Source organism: Homo sapiens, chromosome 7 (genome assembly GCF_000001405.40).
Source record: "Homo sapiens chromosome 7, GRCh38.p14 Primary Assembly".
NCBI lineage: Eukaryota > Metazoa > Chordata > Mammalia > Primates > Hominidae > Homo > Homo sapiens.
Window position 1 is genome coordinate 7,278,632 of NC_000007.14, and position 22,820 is coordinate 7,301,451.

The window sequence follows — 22,820 nt, forward strand, 5'->3', positions numbered from 1 at the left end:
CCGTTTTCTGCTACCTCAAAACCTTTTTGAAATTAACCAGTAATAAATAAGATCTTTCTCTATAGACAGCTTTTTTCAAAGGAATAAAAGAATTAGAAAATATGGAGGATCCATAGTATGCACGCCTTTGGTTCCTGAGGTCCCTTAGATGATATGGAATTCTTTAAAAATGTAGATCGATTTTGATAACATCATAATCAAGATCCTAAGAAATCACTAGCATCCATCAGATTATAAAGTTTCTGAGCAATTCTCTCCCCAACCCCCATCCTGAGCCTAACATGGTGACTTGCTCACAGCCTCACTGGATAGATACTGGTTAGATAAATGAAAGCATTCATTAATCAATGTGATGTGAAGAATTTAGATAAATGATTCCTATTTCTCTCAGTCTAACAAGGGGAAATAGTCCAATAAACATATCTGTAAGTTTAATAGAATTTGTAAGTTCCTTTGAATATTTGGAAATCTATGATTTCATTTTTAAGACACACAGAATCTATTATGATAGAGCACTGAATTTTATTCAGTTAGGTAATTTTGTGCCTCTTATTTTTAACCAGTTTGGTGTCTTTCTTGTGCTTTTCACTATAGTATTCATGGATCCTATTAACAGTAAAGAAAGTGGCAGACGCCAGGCATGGTAGCTCATGCCTGTAATCCCAGCACTTTGAGAGGCTGAAGCAGAATTATTTGAGGCCAGGAGTTCAAGACCAGCCTGGGCAACATAGTGAGAACCTTTTTGTTGTTACTGTTGTTGTTGTTTTTTAAAGAGAGAGTAGAGATACTAGGTTACTCCGTGGTGAGGCTTGGGATGGTGGTGGGAATGGAGTGGAGGAGGGACTTCCTTCCCAATGACTAGATATGTCTTAATTTGTAAGACGGCTCTCTCCCATGTGACTTTCTCTCCTCTACCTATGTCAACTTTGTGTTGGGAGTGTTCAGGACAATATGTGAATGGAAAATTCATAAATGAATGTACCAATAGAAATAAAGATACATGTGGGTGTTGCTTTTTCACTTTTTCAATGAAGATCTGATCCTTTGGTGTTTTACTTGGTCCCAATCCCACTTTTCCACAAGTTGTGGCTAAGGACTTGTCCTTGATTATAAGATTCTGGTTGTTGAAACTGTTATTTATGCATGAAGGACTACTCAGAATATCACTGTAATTACACATCTGCCCCTCTGAGTTCTTCAAAAATAGGAACATGACAGATATGTTTGGAAAAGGTTAAAAATATGCTTAATGCTAAAAGGAAAATGAGCTAAAATTTTCCTGGTATTGTATTATAGTTCTATATTTTATGATGATCTTTATTGCAATAGTTATACCTTGACTTTACAAAATTCTTTCATGTTTTAACCCTTGGTGTCCATACTTTTGCCTTTGGGAATATCATGCAGGCTTGATGTAACCATTTTGCTTATAAGACAAGCAAATTGGACCAGCCACAGTGGCTCACACCTTTAATCCAAGCACTTTGGGAGGCCAAGGGGAACAGAACACTTGAGTCCAGGAGTTCGAGACTAGCCTGGGCAACATGGTAAAACCTTGTCTCTACTAAAAATACAAAAATTTGCCAGGCATGGTGGCACACGCCTATAATCCCAGCTACTCAGGAGGCTGAGGCATGATCTTTTGTCAATTTAGTTTACAGGGCCCCAGCAACAGAACCTTGAAGGGTAAAAGAAAAGAAACCGTGTTCTTCCCTGCAATACAATAGGAGAGTTCAAAGGATGTGACTCAGGGTAGGTCAGAGATCCACAAGGGTTTCATTTCTGTTGTCAAAATAAGTACAGTGAAAATACCTACGAAAAGTAATAATTTAGAGACTATTAGTAAATAGTTCTTTGGTATAAGGTAATTTGTCATATTATTTGACTGGGGAAGGAACTTAGGTCATCCTCAGCTCTGGGATGCCTACACGGCAGGCAGATTGGTGCTTTTTGCAGCCTCACAGAAGACAGAAACAAGCAGAGGGCAAAAGATAGAACTCAGAAGGAGAAAGTCTAGTTGACAGAGCAGGAACATCGCCATCTTGGACAAGCACTGCCATTTTAATGTTCACCTTCATCAAAAACCTCGTAAATCCAAGGGCATCAGCCTAATGACTAAGGTCAGAATGACCATAAGCCACAAATGACATCTCTTACCAGAAACATTCCAACCATAAGATAAACCCCTCCCCAACCAGAGACTTGCCAGCCCCAAGATAACCTCCCCTCCAGCCAGAGAGATGTCAGCCCCAAGATAACCTCCCCTCCAGCCAGAGACATTCCAACCCTGCAATAAATTTCTCCCCCACCAGAAACATTCCAAGCCTGTGGTAAGTTCTCTCACCCTGAACCCTTAAATACTTATTCTGTAAGACAGAAGGCTCCTAACCAAAAATCAGCCAGAAGCCCCTCTCAGGTTTATTCTCCAAAATAAACCTGTCTTTGACGGTTGAGCTGCTTTTCATGTTTCTTTCCTCTTTGGCTCTTATGCTAGCGCTGTAGTGCTACTTCACTATTTTTTTTTCTAGAACAGCTGAAATTCTCTTTTTATGTAGAATGAGACTCAGGGAGATTTGATCACTTTATAAATTTTTTTTCAAAGCAGGTCCCATTTCTTTCCATCCCTTTCAACAATCCTCAGTGCCTTATATAAATGACAGTTTTCTAATAAATGACAATATTCTAGCTTAGTAGACAATAAACAAAATGGAGAGGGAGAGTTTTGCATAGTCTTAAATAATAGCTAAATAAAATATAATCATCAACTTAAAGATGAGAACTCTAATTACCACATATTGTGAACAATTTCCATATAATTAACTGTTGTTTAGGCTATAGAGTAACTAAGACAGCTCTCTGGTTTTCCTGTATGTAGAAAACATATTGGTTTGGCAGATGTTTTACTTACTATCAATTGCTTTTCAATAGATAGTTTCTCTTCCTTTGCAGTGAATTCAACACAATCCACTTAAAACAACAAATGTTTATTGAGTAATCAGTACATACAAGGCAATATGTTAGGCCTGAGAAGAAAAACAAAAATAAGCCTCAATACTTTCTCTTGAGAAGGTAACAAAAAGGAATAAAATGTATGTGTAAATTATGATAATCTGTGGCAGAAAAAGTAAGTGAATAAACATTTCATCTGGGTGGAAAAGTTTGGTCTTACATTTGTGATGATACTAGAAGGTAGGCAAGATTTAAAGGGCTGAGACTAAGGAGTTTCCAAGAAAAGGGAACACTGCCTATGAAAATATGAGGCAGATAATCTTGAAGTGTCTTAGTTTTTTCAAGTTTCTATAACAAAATATAAACCACGTGGCTTATAAACAATAGCAATTTATTTCTCACTGTTCTAGATGCTGGTCCAAGATCAAGGCACCAGCAGATACAGTGTCTGGTAAGAGCCCATTTCCTCGCTCCTAACTGACACCTTTCTTGCTGTATCCTTAGATGGTAAAAGGGGCTAGCTAGCTCTCTGGTGTATCTCTTATAAGCATACTAATACCTGTCATGAGGGTGGAGCCTTCATTATCTAATACCTTCTAAAGGCCTCACCTCCTAATACCATCACCTTGGACATTAGGATTTTACCATATAAATTTGGGGAGGACAGAAACATTCAGACTATAGCAGAGTGTTTTCAGGGAAGAATGAGAGATGTGGCTGACAGAAATTTAAGGGATCACAATAGAGTAGGACTAGTTTATGCTAATACAGTAGCCATTAGCTACACGTGGCTACTCAGCACTTGAAATATGGCTAGTCTAAAGAGAAATTTTCTGTAAATGTAAAATACATACCAGATTTTGGACACTTAATTTTAAAAAGTAAAATATCACATGTTTTTATATTGATTGTGCATTACAAGATATTTTCAATAATACAGATTACTAGAATTAACTTCATCTGTGCCTACTTTTTTTAATGTGCACACTAGAAAATTTTAAGTTACATATGTTGCTCATATTATTTTTCTATAGGATAACATTGGGCCAAATTATGCCAAAATTTGAGTATCAGACAAAGCTCCCCAATAACCCTTGCTGCCACTGCAGACTCCCATAGCCTAGGCCACCAAGGTTTCCCACAGTCTCCACAGATGGTGACCTCAGTTGACAGAGCTACATGGAGACTGCACCACTGCACCCTCCCCATAACTGCAGCCACTGCACCCCACCAGCCAGCACCCTAACACATACCTGCAAGTGAAACGCTTTCCCCACTGAAGCCAGTCCATAAAATCTGGAAATGTTTACTGCTCCCTCCAATGGCAGACATCTATGCAAGGCCATGAGAAACATGAAAAAGCAAAGAAACATGACACCACCAAAGGAACAAAATAATTGTCCAGTTACTAATCACCTCAAAATGGAGATCTAGAATTGTCTGAAAATTGATTAAAAATAATTATTTTAAGGTAGCTCAGTGAGATACAAGATAACACAGATACCTCAGCAAAATCAGAAAAATAAGACATAAAATAGGAAGTTCAACAAAGAGATAGAAATCATAGATAAGCCAAATAGAAATCCTGGAGCTGAAGAATACAATTAATAAAATGAAAAAAAATACAATAGAAAACTTCACCAGCAGATGAGATCAATCAGGAGAAAGAATTGGTGAACTCAAAGACAAGGCTTTTGAAATTATTCACTCTGAGGAGAACAAGAATAAAAGAATGAAAAAAAGTAAACAAACCCTGCAGGACTCATGGGCCACCATTAAGTGAACAAATATACACCTTATAGGAGTTTTAGAAGGAGAAAAGAGAGAAAGAGAAAGATACTTATTCAAAGAATTAATGATTGCAAACTTCCCAAATCTTGGAAGAGAAATAAACAACCAAAGTCCGTGAAGCTCAGAAGTTCCCAAATAGTCTTTACCCAAAGAAGACTTCACCATGACACATTATAATCAAATTGTCAAAACTCAGAATTTTGAAAACAGCAAGAAACAAGTCTTTCCACATACGGTGAAACCTCAAAGGTTATCAGCAGATTTATCTTGCAGATCAGGAGAGAATGGGAAGATACATTCAAAATTATTAAAGAAAAAAATTTGCTAATGGAGAATACTTTAACTGGCAAAGCTGTTCAGAAATAAAGGATAGATAATTTCTCAGATTAAAAAAAAAAAAAAAAGCTCAACAAGTTAATCATTCCTGGACCTGCCTTATAAGAAATGCTAAGGAGAGTTTTTCAACAAATGAAATGAAAGAATGCTAGCTTGTAACATAAAAACATAAAAATATAAAATTCACTGGTAAGGTAAATGTATAGTCAAATTCAGAATTCTTTAATACTCTAACGATCTTGTGCAAATCACTTTTAAACTCTAGCATATAAGTTAAAAGACAAAAGATTTAAAAATAATTGTAGCTACAAAATTTTGTTAACAAATACATAACATAAAACAATGTAAGTTGAGATATCAAAAACAAAATATGGAGTGTAAAGAAGTAAAAGTTGAGACCTCTTGTGTGCTATTTAAGTTTTTTTATCTTTAAATAGATGGTTACACTATAAGATGTTTCATGTAAAATCCGTGGTGACCACAAGGCAGAATCCTGTAGTAGATACACAAGAGATAAAGAGAAAGTAACCAAAGCATACCAATATAAAAAATCATGAAATCACAAAGAAGGGGAGTAAGAGAGAAACAAAGGAACTACAGCACAGTCAGAAACATTTAACTTAATGGCAATAGTAAGTCTCTACCTATAAATAACTACTTTAACTGTAAATACATTCTCCAATCAAAAGACATAGAGTGGCTAAATGGACTAAAGAAAAAAGCAATTATATGCTGCTCTCAACAGACTCACTTTAGCTTTAAGGCCATATATAGGCTGAAAGTGGAGGTATAGAAAAACATATTCCATGCTGATATTAACCAAAAGAGAGCAAAGTGGTTACACTTACATCAGACAAAATAGACTAAGCCAAAACTGTCATAAGAGACAAAAATAGTCATTGCATAATGATAAAGGTGTCAGTTCATCAAAAGGACATAACAACTGTAAATATGTATGCACATAATATCACAGCACCTAAATATATAAAACAAATATTAACAGATCCCAAGGGAAATATACATAACAATTCAGTAATAGTAGGGGACTTCAACACCCTACTTTCAACAATGGACAGATCATCCTAGCAGAAAAAATAATATAAAAGCATTGGAGCATTGGACTTAAAGTTCATTTTACACCAGCCAGACTTAACAGACATGTACAGAACATTCTATCCCAAAGCAGCGGGGTACACGTTCTTCTCAGGCATACATAGAACATTCTCCAGGACAGATCAGATGTTAGGCCACAAAACAAATCCTAAATTTAAGAAGATTGAAATCATATAAAGTGGTTTTTTTAATCACAGTTGAATGAAAATAGAAATTTATAACAGAAGGAAAATCTGGAAGGATCCAAAATATGTGGTAATTAAACACATTCCTGAATAATCACTAGATCAAAAAAGAAGTCAAAATGGAAATTTAAAATATCTGAGGCAAATGAAAATGGAAACTCAATGTACCAAAACTTATGAAATGCAGCAAAAGCAGTTATAAAAGGGAAATTAATAGCAATAAATGCCTGCATGAAAAGAAAAAAGATCTTAAATAAACTAACTTTACACCCCAAAGAACTAGAAAAAAGAACAAACTATATGCCAAGTTTTCAGAAGGAAAGAAAAGATTAAAACAAAAATAAATGAAATAGGGACTAGATAAACCATAGAAAAGATCAAAATTAAAAATTTATTTTTTGAGAAGATAAACAAAATTGGCAATAGTTAAGAAAAAAAGACTCAAAATAAAAAATGAAACAGGACACATTACAATTGATGTCACAGAAATAAAAAGGATAAAAGACTACTATGAACAATTAAGTGCCAACAAATTGGATAACCTAGAAAAAAATGAACAAGTTCCTAGAAACATACAACCTACCTGAATCATGAAGAAATAGAAAATCTGAACAGACTAATAATGAGTAAGGAGATTGTATCAGCAATCAAAAATCTCCCAATAAAAAAGCTCAGGACAGGATGGCTTCAACTGGTCAATTCTACTAAACATTAAAAAAAAAAAAAACAAAAAAACCAATCCGCCTTAAACTCTTCAAAAATATTAAAGATGAGGGAACACTTTCAAACTTATTTTATGAGGCCAGCATTACCTTTATATCAAAGACAGACAATGACACTACAAGAAAAGAAAACTACAGGCTAATAACCCTAATGAATATAGATGCAAAAATCCTCAATGAAATATTAGCAAGCCAAATTCAACAGAACATTAAAAGAATCATACAGCATGTTCAAGATGGATTTATCCTGAGGATACAAAGATGTTGTAATACATGCAAATCTATAAATGTGATACATCACATTAACAGAATGAAGAAAACCAAATGATCATCTCAAGAAATGCAGGAAAGACATTTAAAAAAATTTATTATTATTTTATGATTAAAACTCTCAATGAATTAGGTATAGAAGAAATATACCTCAAAATAATAAATGCTATATATCACAAGCTTACAGCGAACATCGTATTCAATGGCAAAATGATTAAAGCTTTTCCTCTAAGATCAGGAATAAGACAACAATACCCAATTCTCCCGAATTTCTATTTAATATAGTAATGAAAGTCCTATCCAGAGTAATTCGGCAAGGAAAAGAAATAAAGGCATCCACATCAGAAAGGAAGAAGTAAAACTGTATGTTTGCAGATAATATAATCCTGTATGTAGAAGTCCTAAAGGCTCAACCAAAAAAACTGTTTGAACTAATAAACAAGTTCAGTAAAGTAGCAGGATACAAAATCAACATACGAAATTAGGTAACATTCTCATTCTCTCTCACTTTATTGCCCAAGCTAGTCTTGAACCCTTGGCCTCAAGTGATCCTCCCATCTTGGCCTCCCAAAGCACTGGGACTATAGCTGTGAGCCACTGCACCTTGTAAGTGGTTTCTATACACTAACAATGAATGATCTAGGGGGAAAAAGTCAAGAAAATAATCCCATTTAGAGTAGTATCAAAAAGCATTAAACACTTAGGAATACATTTAACCAAGGAGATGAAAGATTTGAACACTGACCACTACACAACATTGACAAAAGAAATTGAAGATGACACAAATAAGTAGAAAGATATCCTATGTTCATGGATTGGAAGAATTAATGTTAAAATGTCCATATTACCCAAAGTGATCAATGCAATCCATAAAAGAATTCCAATCACATGTTTCCATAGAAACAAAAAAATCCTAAAATGTGTATGTAGCTACAAAAGACACCAAAGGGGGGGAAAATAAGCTAGAGGCATCACATTACCTAATTTCAAATTATATCACAAAACTATAGCAATCAAAACAACATGGTACTGGCATAAAACCAGACACATAGAAAAATAGAACACGGAGCCCAGAAATAATCTCATATATATAGTCACTAATCTTTGACAAAAGCATCAACAATACACAATGGGGTAAGAATAATCTCTTCAGAAAATTTGGTGCCAAGAAAACTGGATATCTACATGCAAAAGAATGAAATTGTTCCCTTATCTTACATATGTGAAAAATAAATTCAAAATGCATTAAAGTCTCAAACATAAGACCTCAACTGTAAAGCTACTAGAAGAAAACCTAGGAGAAATCCTCCTTAATGTTGGACTTGGCAGTGATTTTTTGAATATCACACCAAAGACACAGACAATGAAAGCAAAAATAAAGAAGTGGGCCTACATCAAAGTAAAAAGTTTCTGCACAGTGAAAGAATCAATCAACAAAATGCAAAGGCAACACACGGAATGGGAGAAAATATTTGCAAACTATATATCTGGTAAGGGGCTAATATCCAAAATATAAAAGGAACTCATACAACTCAAGAGCAAAAAAAAAAAAAAAAAAAAATTGAAAACGGGCAGAGGATCTGAATAGACATTTTTTCAAATAAAACATGCAAATGGTCAACAGCTATATGAAAAACTGGTCAGCATCCACTAATCGTCACAGCCACAAGGAGACATCACCTCACACACGTTAGGGTGGCCATTATCAAAAAGTCAAAAAATCTCAAATATTGGCAAGGATGCAGAGAAAAGGGAATTCTGTACACTATTGGTGGGAGTGTAAATTATTACAGCCATTATGGAAAACAGTATGCGGTTCCTCAAGAAACCTAAAAATAAAACCTAAAATAAAAATTGTATAATCCAACAATTTCACTTCTGAGGATATATCCAAAGGAAATAAAATCAGCATCTCAAAGAGATACCTACACTCCCATGTTCATTGCACCGTTATTCACAATAGCCAATGGAATAGGATATGGAAATAACCTAAGTATTTGTCAATGGATAAATGGGTAAGGAAAATGTGGTATATATACAATAAATTATTATTCTGCCTTTAAAAAGAAGGAAATCCTGTCATTTGTAAGCACACTGATAAACCTAGAGGACATTAAGCTAAGTGAAATAAGCCAGACACAGAAAGCCAAATGCTGCATGATGTCACTTAAATAAAAAATCTAAGATGGAATCTAAAAAAGTTGAATCCATACAAACAGTAGAATTGAGGTTGTCAGGGTCTGGGAATCTAAAATTCTAAAATCTGAAAAAGTCAAACTCATAGAATGTGGAATCTAAAAATGTTGAACTTGCAGAGACAGAGTAGAATAGTGGTTGCCGCCAGGGAGGCAGGTGAGCAACGGCAAAACGTTGGTCAAAGGGTACAAGCTCTCAAAAAGCTCTAGAGATCTAATGTCCAACATGGTGGCTACAGTTAATAATAACGTACCGCGTACTTGAAATTTGCTAAGAGAGTAGATCTTAAGTAGATCTTGCACACACCCCCATTCCCCCACCAAAAAACAAGGTAACTATGTGAAGTAAGGAATAGGTTGTTAATTAGATGGGGGAATTATTTCATAAAGTATATGTTTATTAAAACATCACATTGTATATCTTAAATATATACAATTTTTGTCAGTTATACCTCAATAAGGACGGGGGAGAGAATTTTGTAGCTATCCACTATTAAAGAAAATACTTTACATAGAAATTTCTGTAGGAAAAAAAATTTGTTATTATGAATCTGAATTTCTCTAGCCTGTAACTTTCATTTTCCTTTTGAAATGATAGTTCTTTATAATGGAATTGTTAAAAACTGAAGGTTGGTTACTTGGAAACCCAGTTACTGAGTTTTTTTATGCTGCCTGAAATTTAAGGTACTTCAGCATAGATAATGTGGTATGTAGGTGTCTGTTTAAATTAGTGTTAATCTATATCCAAGAAGATGCTTAACATTCAGTACACTCTAAACTCACACTTGAAAGGTGGGTTGCATATGAAAGATGCTGTACTCTGGATAATTCTGCCAGAGCTTCAAAACTTGCTATCTGAATCTGCACTTAAAGAGTTTCAGAAGAGATAATATAAGACCATTTTCAATAGTGAAATGAATGATATGCCTCCACTCTTGGATGAACAGAAGTGTGAGAAATGAAGAGCCTGGGAGCTTAACACCTTGGGAAAAGACTCCTAAAATTTAGAACCCTATCTTGCATTCCTCCCCTTAATGAAGGGTTTTCTTGTCTGACACCATTAGAAAGTTAGCTGATCTTTCAGTCAGAACACTTTCTCATTTTTCCTGGGAATTAGCCTTCCAGGCAAAGTGGCTACTAGAGTTCCTAGATGATCAGAGTATCAGGACTACACTGAGCTTACAGAGCAAGAAGTATGACTGTTTGGGAGTCTGCTTGTAATGGGTATTTGTACACCTCTTGATCTGAGACTTTCATGAGAGGTTGTAGAAAGATGTACACCTCAGTAACTATATACCCTGTTTTGCCCAGGAGGGTCCCAGTTTGCACTTACTGTCCAGTCTTGGTTTTTAATAACACCACTTTTCACTTCTAAAAGTTTCCAAGTTTGAATGTTAAATTATAAGGATACTCTTTTGTGGTATTTTAAAACATATGTCCACAAATTATTTGCTATTTCTCCCTCAAGAGAAGGAGCCTAATTCCTCACCTCTTGAGTATAGGCTGGACTTAGTGACCGACTTCTAAGGAATCAAATAAGGCAGAAGTGATGCTGTATGACTTTGGCCCTTGTCCTAAAAGATCCCCTTGCTTTTTTAGTATTTTTAGTACAGATGGGGTTTCACCGTGTCAGCCAGGATGGTCTCGATCTCCTGACCTCGTGATCCACCCACCTCAGCCTCCCAAAGCACTGGGATTACAGGCGTGAGCCACCACGCCCGGCCTAAGATCCCCTTGCTTTTTTTAGGGGGGACCACTCACTGGGGGGAGACCAGCTGCCATGTTGTGAGAACACCCAAGTAGGCCTAAGATAGGCCCACATGGCAAGGACCTGAGGTCTCCTGCCAACAGCCAAGTCAAGCAGGCCATTTTGGATGTGGATCCTCCCGCCCCAGTCAAACCTTCAGAGACCACAGCCCCAAATGACAGCTTAACTACAGCTTCATGAGAGACCCTGAGCTAGAACCACCTAACTAAGCCATTCTCAGATTCCTAATTTTCAGAAACTGAAAGAATGTAAATATTTGCTCAGCACTGCTAAGTTCTGAAGTATTATGCAGCAAAATAGAATACAACTACCTATAGCTTTCACACAGTTCTCATCTTTAGACTTTATTGACATTTACTATGACAAATGAAAATGACCAAATTGCCCTAGGTCTGGCTGAGCCCCAAACCCTCTCAGTATGTTCATATTTCAGCATGGCAAAGCAAAAATTAACCATTAAATTATACCCAATAGTAGTAATAGCTATCACTTTTTGGGCATTTAGAGTTTCTTAGAAACTTTGCTAGGATTTTGTATAGATTTACCTGATATACTTCTCACAATAAGCCCTATGAAAGGTATTCCCAACTTCATTTTGTAAGCAAGAAATCTGAGATTCAGGTAAGGCAGGCTCCAAAAGTTCCCACAGCCATTCATTGGTGGAACCAGCTCTCCACCCAGGTCTATCTGACTCCAAAGTTCACACTCTTCACCAAACTTAAAACTACACACTACTGTCTTTCAACAAAGAATCCAAAAAAAAAAAAAAAAAAAAGAACAGAAATTTTAGTGAAAGACAATGAACAAATGCAGAGAAACTTTGTCTGAAAAAGAAAATATGTAACGTTTTATATGCTGTTGTTAAACCATATTTTTTTCAAAGCAAATAATACATTCATATCGTTCAAAAGACACAAAAGATATTTTGACAAGATAGCACTCACCTTTGCCCCCAGCCACCTGGTGACCCCTTCCGGAGGCAATGAATACTGTTTCTTGCATATCTTTCCAAATATATTCTATGTGTTATCGAAGACCATGCCTACATATACTCCCCACCACTACCATTGTTTCTTACGCCAGTGATAGCATAGACTGTACATTGTTTGGCACCTGTTTTTAACCTAAGAATGAATTTTGGATGTCATTAAGAATCAGTGAATAACAAAGTATCCTCACTTTTTTTTTTTTTTCCTCTTTGAGATGGAGTCTTGCTCTGTCACCCAGGCTGGAGTGCAGTGGTGCAGTATCAGCTCACTGCAAGCTCAGCCTCCTGGGTTCACACCATTCTCCTGCCTCAGCCTCCTGAGTAGCTGGGACTACAGGCGCCCGCCACCATGCCCGGGTAATTTTTTGTATTTTTAGTAGACACAGGGTTTCACCGTGTTAGCCAGGGTGGTCTCGATCTCCTGACCTCATGATCCGCCTGCCTCGACCTCCCAAAGTGCTGGGATTACAGGTGTGAGCCACCACGCCCAGCCCTCACTTTGTTTTTTTTTTTTTTTTTTACAGCTGCATTATATTCTATTGAATTGTATAACATAATTTATGTAATGACTACCCTTTTAATAATGATTTTAGTTATTTGCAATCCTGTTATTTCAAAACAAAATGCTGTGACGACTAACTTTGCCCATATATCATCTCTAAATGCAAGTTCTCAGCCTCATAGCCTACACTGACTTGCTGAAGGTTCAGTCCTAAGGCATTGTGGACTAAATTATTTACTAGCTGAACATTAAAACTATAGGTACTGTGTTGTGATTTTTATTGTTATAGTTTCTAATTTGGACTTGAGATCTCTGTGGAGAATGGCCATAAGCCAAGATAGCCGCTTGCTAGGAGAGCCCTGGTTCAAGTGTGTTGGTCATGAGACAAAATGAGAAGGTGAAACCAAATTGCATGAAACAGAAGAAATGTATGACTTACATATCCCAGAGAGGTTAGGGGTCCCGATGGCAGGCCACAGAAGTCTGGAGGCAACAGGGAGCTCAACCACCAAGCGGGGAGCGAGAGAGGAGAGAGCACATGTGGTCACGAGGCTTTCATTAAGGCCCATTAGCCTTCCTGAGGGGGTTGTGAATTGTCTGGTTTAAAGAAAACACAGATGAAGGGGGAACTTATTAACTCTGGTGTGGGCCATTAGGTTTTATCATGGCCAGCAGCTGTGGGATGAGGAACAAGTGGGCTATATTGTAAACAACCACACAGGGAGAGGAAGTTTTCACCTGGTCGAATGCGACGGGGTACTACTGAGTTCCAGTAACTTGTGTTAGGTCTAAAATGGATGCCCAGGCAGCAACTCCATTAAATACATTTATGACAGTACTGAAACTACTGGTTTCCTTTTCTACTATTCTGAGAATGGGGTGAGGGCAAAAGAGCACATTTTCGTATTTCTTATCTTAAACAAGTGAATAGGCATTTATCTTCTAACCCACTTTATCAGAAAATAGCTGATGAAATGATTTGAATTTGGCAGGCTTATCAGTTCAGTTTTCAATACATTCTCATTTGTCTGTGCAACCAAGGAAATGGTGGCTGCTTTTTAATATAAATACCTTTGTATTTTCCTCAAACTTCCCCCATGTTCTCTTCTTGGAATTCCTACCTGCTTCCGTCCTGCTCCTCCTGTAAATATGCAATTATTTAGGCCTGAAAGCTGGAATTCACCTGTTTCCTCTTTTTTGCTCTCCCCCGGATTGTAGGGGCAATCATCAGAAGAGCCAGAAGTGACCTCGAAATTCTCATTCTTGGTTGCCAGGACAATGGGCCAGCTGGGATGGGAGGCTCCTTCTCACAGTATGAGAGGCTGCACTCACACCAGCTGCTCAAGTGACCAGCCCCCTTCCCAACCCGTCCCTCCTACCCGACACAATCTCCCATAATCTCAAGGTTGCCACATGCTGCATGACTAGCAGACTAGCATTCCTAGACAAAGTCTGTAAACTGCAGCCTCCAGCAGCGTGTCTCTCCCTGCAACAGATATCAAGGGGTTAGTTTCCACTGTTGGAATATAGACCCACACTGCACATCCAGCAGGGCACCCTGCCCCAGCATACTTCTCTGTGGGATGATGGGAGAATGGAGAAGACCTGCGGTCTCTTCCCTCGATAATTCTTCCAGTTTCCCAATAATTTGTCCCTTTTTCCAATAAAGCCTCTTCCTAAACACATGCTGTGTGGCATTGTGGAACTTGTCCTGCCCCTGAAATGAGATAAATGAGATAAAAAGAGACCCATCTTGCCTAGCATATGACCGGTCAGTCTCCAAATACTCCTAATCCTGGAGCGGCTGGTTTACTCAATGATGGACTTTGTAGGTAAGGCAAAGTACAGCATTTTTTGTTTCTCACCTCTCCCCCTTAAACCTGCCCTGCAGATCCATTCTAAGCCAGCCCTGGAAGAACTCTCAGGCAAGGAATATAACCTTTCTGGTCACTGTCACATAATAAACAGTCCATTCTAGCTGACCTGGCTGAGGGGATGAGGAATTACAAGAGCAGTCAATGTCACCAGAGTCAGAGCCACCTCTGCCAACCACCCTCCTGCGGCATGCATAGGGGAACTTCCAGCAGCACCACATCTTGGAACAAAGAGTAGATGTCCAACTTACCAGAGGGCAACATCCTACCAAAATCCCAAGGCGAACAGAAAGATACAAGGGGTGAGAAGCAGCCTCCTTTATTGGATAAAACCAAGCCTTTCATACCCGACCATGTCAACATGAGTAACTAATCAAAATAATTAGAAGGTGCTTACAGCTGAATACTGATCAAGCCTTCTTCCTGTTGGTGAGCAGAAATAGTATGGTGAGCATTTCCACACTGGTTTCCAAGGTGTATAAAAATGACAAGAATGAAGATGGATTCCTGTAAATGGTATATGACTCTCCGGAGACATTTGGAATGAAATTTCTATTTAAGACTGGCGAGACACATCTATTCTAGAATTTTTAAAATACTTAACATGGAAGCAAAGGGATGCTACCAGCTGAGATGGATCCATTCATTCAATCACAGGTCATCAAAACAGTAGCGTTTCCACCTAGGAGTTGTAGAAAAGCAGAAACACTTAGCTCCAGATGAGTACATTCAGCTTTGGAAAGCTATATTACTTAACCTACGCTTTAGAAATTTAAAAACAAAATACTTTGCATTTGAAGTTGCCAATAAAAGAGACTTTCAAGTTACTTTAATGTTTTTTTCCCCAATATGAATTTGCAATTCAAGCAGTAGCTTAAAATCATTCAGAGAGACTTTTTCTCTTTAGTTTCACAGAATCTGCCAACTTGTTTTAAAACCAGAGAAATCTCCATAAGAGGATCTTTAGGTATAAGTTTTCAAGAATAGCCCCCCCAAAACTCATTGCCATAACAGTTACTGCAAAGCAGGATACTTGGGGGTATATTTAATAAAAAACAAAACAAAAACAAAAAAAAACCTGACTCTGAATTGCTGTTCAAGATTTCTGATTTTTTATGGGAAGTATACCAAAGGTCAACTTTCTTGCAGTGTTAACAAGTTTTTACCTGGTTTGCTTCTAGACCATTACACACAGGGAAATAACAAAATCAAACCACTGCTTAATAGGAACCTTGAATAATTGATAGTTTTGGTCTGGCTTCTAAAACGGTCCCAGAGGGATTTAAAAAAAGTGGCATTTCTTTTATTTTGGATTTCCTCCAATCTAGGAATTCAAACTAGTTCTTGATTTGGTAAGTAAAGAAGCAGTTGTGATCAGCTACATTCTTTGGGACAGTGGTAGAAACTACAGAATATAAAAACTAAAAGCATGACAATTCAAATGTATTCCCTTCTACCTTTTGGCTTAAAGCTATACATGATTCATGTTATGTGTTAAGTTTAATAAAAGATGTTATTAAAAATTTCTCACATTTTTAAGAGTACTTCAGTTATCACTGTTAGGTGAAACAAGTCATCACAATTTCCCCACTCTAAGTGCACGTCAATTGTGAAGAAAATGTAGCCTAAGGAGACATATGTTCTTTACAAATACGAGGTTGGAAGTTAAACATCTTCAAAGTTCAATCTAGAATAAATGACGATGCTTCTCGCTACTTACATGGAAGTTGCATGGGATTTACTCTTTATGATTTCCTGGGAGTATCAGATAGACCACAGTTGTGTCATTGTAGACTGTAGAGGTAGCAGGTCAAAGTTCATCCTTCTGTGTTTGAATGTGTGTGAAATACCTGTATCTGTTAGTAAAAGTTATTTAATGGAGAGAAAAAGTCAATTTCACTGCATATGGACCCTCAACTGATTATAAAAGGATCTCTAGCCTCTGTCACCTACTCTTCCCACTGCATGCATCTGTCCACAGGGCTAATTTTTAAAGTGTATGTTTTTATATTGTGTAAATTCTTTCAGCCTGTCTAGTTTAGATTGTATACATCATCATATTTGGCATTCTTACCACTCCTGTGTGAGCCATAAGATTCCTATAAGAAATACTGCTTTACAAAAAACACCATGCTTTACAAAAAATGCCATGCTTTACAAAAATCACACATTAGTGGGTGGTCACTTTATTTATAGAATTATTAAAGCAAGTACTTTTTTCCTTTCTTTTTTTTTGAGACGGAGTCTCGCTCTGTCACCCAGGCTGGAGTGCAGTGGCGCGATCTCGGCTCACTGCAAGCTCCGCCTCCTGGGTTCGAGCCATTCTCCTGCTTCAGCCTCCCGAGTAGCTGGGACTACAGGCGCCCGCCACCACGCCTGGCTAATTTTTTGTATTTTTTTTTTTTAGTAGAGATGGGGCTTCACCATGTTAGCCAGGATGGTTTCGATCTCCTGACCTCGTGATCTGCCCACCTCGGCCTTCCAAAGTGCTGGGATTACAGGCGTGAGCCACCGTGCCCGGCCAAAGCAAGTACTTTTTAATGAACTATATCACATATTAGTGGGCAGTCATTTTATTTATAGAATCGTTAAAGCAATTGCCTTTTTAATGAACTAAAGTGAATAAGACACAACTAAAAACTAGTTTTAAAAGGCACTTGCTTTAAAGATTTAAAAATTTTAAAAACTAAAGTGCAGTCCAGTTTTAAAAACTAAAGTTTTCAGTGAAACTCAAAAGTCTCATTCAAAAGTCTCATTATAACTTTTCCTCTTCCCTACGTCAGGCCTACTTCAGGCTGAGAAATGTGTGGCAAAATATTCTTTAGTTTTAGAATCCTTTTTTTAGTATTGTTCTACCTCCTCCCTTCTATTTGGATACTGCTTTGGGCCCCTACAAGGGTACAGCAACAGAAGACTGGCAATTAGAGAGAATGGGCATAAAATATTTAACTTTCTTGAAAGGTGTAGCTATAATCTTTGTTGATATTCCTGGGGTATGATGAAAGCAAGAGCCTCCTTGGTACTTTGAGATACCTGTGGTGTGATGGCGGTATGAAGAGAAGCTTGGCCCTCTTGGCCAAGGTGAAATCTACACACAGGGCACCATCAAAAATGCCACAAAGTCATCTCTTCCCTTATTTCCTGGCCTCCAAGTCATTCTGCACATTGTCACCCAGTAGTCTTCTAAAAATCAGCTCTCACCTTAATATCACTCTCCCAAGCCCTAGACATACAGGCTATTGTTACAATTTCCCCGAAAATTCAAGATACCGTTCTCTGAAGCCCCAACTCTGAGGTAATTGCTTCTCCTAAAATAAATACAATGCATGTTTTTTTTCCTTATAGAGTCATTAATTGTTTATTATAGAAAATTAGGAAAATATAGAAAAGTAGAAAAAACTCATATCGCCACCATTGTTTCATGTTTTGGTGTATTTCTGTCCAGATTTGAAAAAGCAGCTTTACTTTTGTTTGCTTAGGTTTGCTACTTTAAAGAGGACAATGAAACAGAGAGGGTAATATATTTGTAATTTTGCATCTGGCTTTTTTGACATAATGTTTTAACGTAAATATTTTCCTACATTAATACAAAGTCTTTGTACACATGTACTGGGTGATGTTTAACTTTTTTGTATTTCAAGCCCAGAATGCCCTTTTATATATATACATATATACTTTTAGTTTTGGGAATCTTATGCAGCACGTGCAGGTTTGTTATATAGGTATACATGTGCCATGGTTGTTTGCTGCACCCATTAACCCATCATCTATGTGAGGTATTTCTCCTAATGCTATCCCTCCCCTAGGCCCCCACCCCCCGACAGGCCCCAGTGTGTGGTGTTCCCCTCCCTGTGTCCATGTGTTCTCATTGTTCAACTCCCACTTATGAGTGAGAACATGCGGTGTTTGGTTTTCTGTTCCTGTGTTAGTTTGCTAAGAATGATGGTTTCCAGCTTCATCCATGTCCCTGCAAAGGACATGAACTCATCCCTTTTTATGGCTACATAGTATTCCATGGTGTATATATGCCACATTTTCTTTACCAGTCTATCACTGATGGGCATTTGGATTCATTCCAAGTCTTGGCTATTGTGAACAGTGCCACAATAAACATATGTGTGCATGTGTCTTCATAGTAGAATGATTTATAATCCTTTGGGTATATACCCAGTAATGGGATTTCTGGGTCAAATGATATTTCTGGTTCTAGACCCTTGAGGAATCGCCACACTGTCTTCCACATGGTTGAACTAATTTACACTCCCACCTACAGTGTAAAAGCATTCCTATTTCTCCACATCCTCCCCAGCATCAGTAGTTTTCTGACTTTTTAATGATTGCCATTCTAACTGGCATGAGTTGGTATCTTATTGTGGTTTTGATTTGCATTTCTCTAATGACCAGTGATGATGAGCTTTTTTTCATATATTTGTTGGCCACATAAATGTCTTCTTTTGAGAAGTGTCTGTTGATTTCCTTCGCCCACTTTTTGATGCTGTTGTTTGTTTTTTTCTTGTAAATTTGTTTAAGTTCCTTGTAGATTCTGGATATTAGCTCTTTGTCAGATGGATAGATTGCAAAAATTTTCTGTTTGTCAGATGGATAGATTGCAAAAAAATTCTGTAGGTTGCCTGTTCACTCTGATGATAGTTTCTTTTGCTGTGCAGAAGCTCTTTAGTTTAATTAGATCCCATTCATCATTTTTGGCTTTTGTTGCCATTGCTTTTGGTGTTTTAGTCATGAAGACTTTGCCCATGCCTATGTCCTGAATAATATTGCCTAGGTTTTCTTCTAGGGTTTTTATGGTTTTAGGTCTTACATTTAAGTCTTTAATCCATCCTGAGTTAATTTTTGTGTAATGTGTAAGGAAGGGGTCCAGTTTCAGTTTTCCCCATATCGCTAGTCAGTTTTCCCAGCACCATTGATTAAATAGGGAATCCTTTCCCCATTGCTTGTTTTTGTCAGGTTTGTCAAAAATCAGATGGTTGTAGATGTGTGGCATTATTTCTGAGGCTTCTGTTCTGTTCCATTGGTCTATATATCTGTTTTGGAACCAGTACCATGCTGTTTGGGTTACTGTAGTCTTGTAGTATAGTTTGAAGTCAGGTAGTGTGATGCCTCCAGCTATGTTCTTTTTGCTATAGGGGCTCTTTTTTGGTTCCGTATGAAATTTAAAGTAGTTTTTTCTAATTATATCTGTTTTGGTACCAGTACCATGCTGTTTGGGTTATTGTAGCTTTGTAGCACAGTTTGAAGTCAGGTAGCGTGATGCCTCCAGCTTTGTTCTTTTTGCTATATGGGCTCTTTTTTGGTTCCACATATGAAATTTAAAGTAGTTTTTTTCTAATTCTATGAAGAAAGTCAATGGTAGCTTGAAGGGGACAGCATTGAATCTATAAATTACTTTGGGCAGTATGGCCATTTTCACAATATTGATTCTTCCTATCCATAAGCATGGAATGTTTTTCCATTTGTTTGTATCCTCTCTTATTTCCTTGAGCAGTGGTTTTTAGTTCTTCTTGAAGAGGTCCTTGACATGCCTTGTAAATTGTATTCCTAGGTATTTTATTCACTTTGTAGCAATTGTGAATGAGAGTTCATTCATGATTTGGCTCTCTGTTTGGCTATTATTGGCATATAGGAATGCTTGTGATTTTTACACATCGATTTTGTATCCTGAGACTTTGTTGAAGGTGCTTATCAACTTAAGAAGATTTTGGGCTGAGACAATGGTGTTTTCTAAATATACAACCATGTCATCTGCAAACAGAGACAATTTGACTTCCTCTCTTCCTATTTGAATACCCTTTATTTCTTTCTCTTGCCTGATTGCCCTAGCCAGAACTTCCAATACCATGTTGAATAGGGGTGGTGAGAGAAGGCATCCTTGTCTTGTGCTGGTTTTCAAAGGGAATGCTTCCAGCTTTTGCCCATTCAGTATGATATTGGCTGTAAGTTTGTTATAAATAGCTCTTATTATTTTGAGATATGTTCCATCAATACCTAGTTTATCGAGAGTTTTTAGCATGAAGGGGTGTTGAATTTTATCAAAGGCCTTTTCTGCATCTGTTGAGATAAGCATGTGTTTTTTGTCATTGGTTCTGTTTACATGATAAATTACCTTTATTGATTTGTGTATGTTGAACCAGCCTTGCATCGCAGGGATGAAGCCAACTGATCGTGGTGGATAAGCTTTTTGATGTGCTGCTGGATTCAGTTTGCCAGTATTTTATTGAGGATTTTCCCATAGATGTTCATCAGGGATATTGGCCTGAAATTTTCTTTTTTTGTTGTGACTCTACCATGTTTTGGTATCAGGATGATGCTGGCCTCATAAAATGAGTTAGGGAGGAGTGCCTCTTTTTCTATTGTTTGGAATAGTTTCAGAAGGAATGGTACCAGCTCCTCTGTCTACTTCTGATAGAATTCAGCTGTGTATCTGTCTGGTCCTGGGCCTTTTTTTGGTTGGTAGGTGATTAATTACCACCTCAATTTCAGAACTTGTTATTTATCTATTCAGGGATTCGACTTCTTCTTGGTTTAGTCTTGGGAGGGTTTATGTGTCCAGGAATTTATCCATTTCTTCTAGATTTTCCAGTTTATTTGCATAGAGGTGTTTATAGTATTCTCTGACAGTAGTTTGTATTTCTGTAGGATCAGTGCCATGTTTCTTGGAGGCTTTGCTCATTCCTTTTCATTCTTTTTCTCTAACTTCGTCTTCACACTTTATTTCATTAAGTTGATCTTCAATCTCTGATATCCTTTTTCCACTTGATCGCCTCGGCTATTGATACTTGTTTATGCTTCGCAAAGTTCTCGTGCTGTTTTTCAGCTCCATCAGGTCATTTATGTTCTTCTCTAAACTGGTTATTCTAGTTAGCAATTCCTGTAACCTTTTTTCAATGTTCTTAGCTTCCTTGCATTGGGTTAGAACATGCTCATTTAGCTCAGAGGAGTTTATTTCCCACCTTCTGAAGCCTACTTCTGTCAATTCATCAAACTCATTCTCCGTCCAGTTTTGTTCCCTTGCTGGTGAGGAGCTGTGATCCTTTGGAGGAGAAGAGACGTTCTGGTTTTTTGGAATTGTCAGTCTTTTTATGCTGGTTTTTCCTCATCTTCATGGATTTATCTACCTTTGGTTTTTGATGCTGGTGACTTTCAGATGGGGTTTCTGTGTGGATGTCCTTTTTGTTGATGTTGATGCTATTCCTTTGTTAGTTAGTTTTCCTTCTAACAGGCCCCTCTGCTGCAGGTCTGCTGGAGTTTGCTGGAGGTCCACTCCCGACCCTGTTTGCCTGGGTATCACCAACAGAGGCTGTAGAATAGCAAAGATTGCTGCCTATTCCTTCCTCTGGAAGCCTCGTCCCAGAGGGGCACCTGCCAGATGCCAGCCAGAGCTCTCCTGTATGATGTGTCCGTCGACCCCTGCAGGGAGGTGTCTCCCAGCCAGAAGGCATGGGGGTTAGGGACCCACTTGAGGAGGCTGTCTGTCCCTTAGCAGTGCTCAAGCGCTGTGTTGGGAGGTCCACGGCTCTCTTCAGAGCTGACAGCCAGGAACACTTGAGTCTGCTGAAGCTGCGTCCACAGCCACCCCTTCCCCCAGGTGCTCTGTCCCAGTGAGATGGGAGTTTTATCTATAAGCCCCTGACTGGGGCTGCTGCCTTTCTTTCAGAGATGCCCTGCCAAGAGAGGAGGAATCTAGAGACTCAGTCTGGCTACAGCAGCTTTGCCAAGCTGCAGTGGGCTCTGCCCACTTTGAACTTCCTGGTGGCTTTGTTTACTGAGGGGAAAACCGCCTACTCCAGCCTCAGTAATGGTGGATGCCCCTCCCCACACCAAGCTCAAGCATCCCAGGTTGACTTCAGACTTCTGTGCTGGCAGCGATAATTTCAGGCCAGTGGATCTTAGCTTGCTGGGCTCTGTGGGGGTGGGATCCACTGAGCAAGACCACTTGGCTCCCTGGCTACAGCCCCCTTTCGATGAGAGTGTACACTTCTGTCTCACTGGCATTCCAGATGCCACTGGGGTATGAAAAAAAACTCCTTCGGCTAGCTTGGTGTCTGCCCAAATGGCCACACAGTTTTGTGCTTGAAACCCAGGGCCCTGGTGGCATAGGCACCCAAGGGA

General features: G+C 38.1%; 1 long non-coding RNA gene across 1 annotated transcript in view; it reads left to right on the forward strand.

The window, feature by feature from the left end:
* Positions 1-22,820, forward strand: part of LOC107986764 (uncharacterized) — a 106,009-nt gene that overhangs the window by 7,228 nt on the left and 75,961 nt on the right. The window lies entirely within an intron of this gene.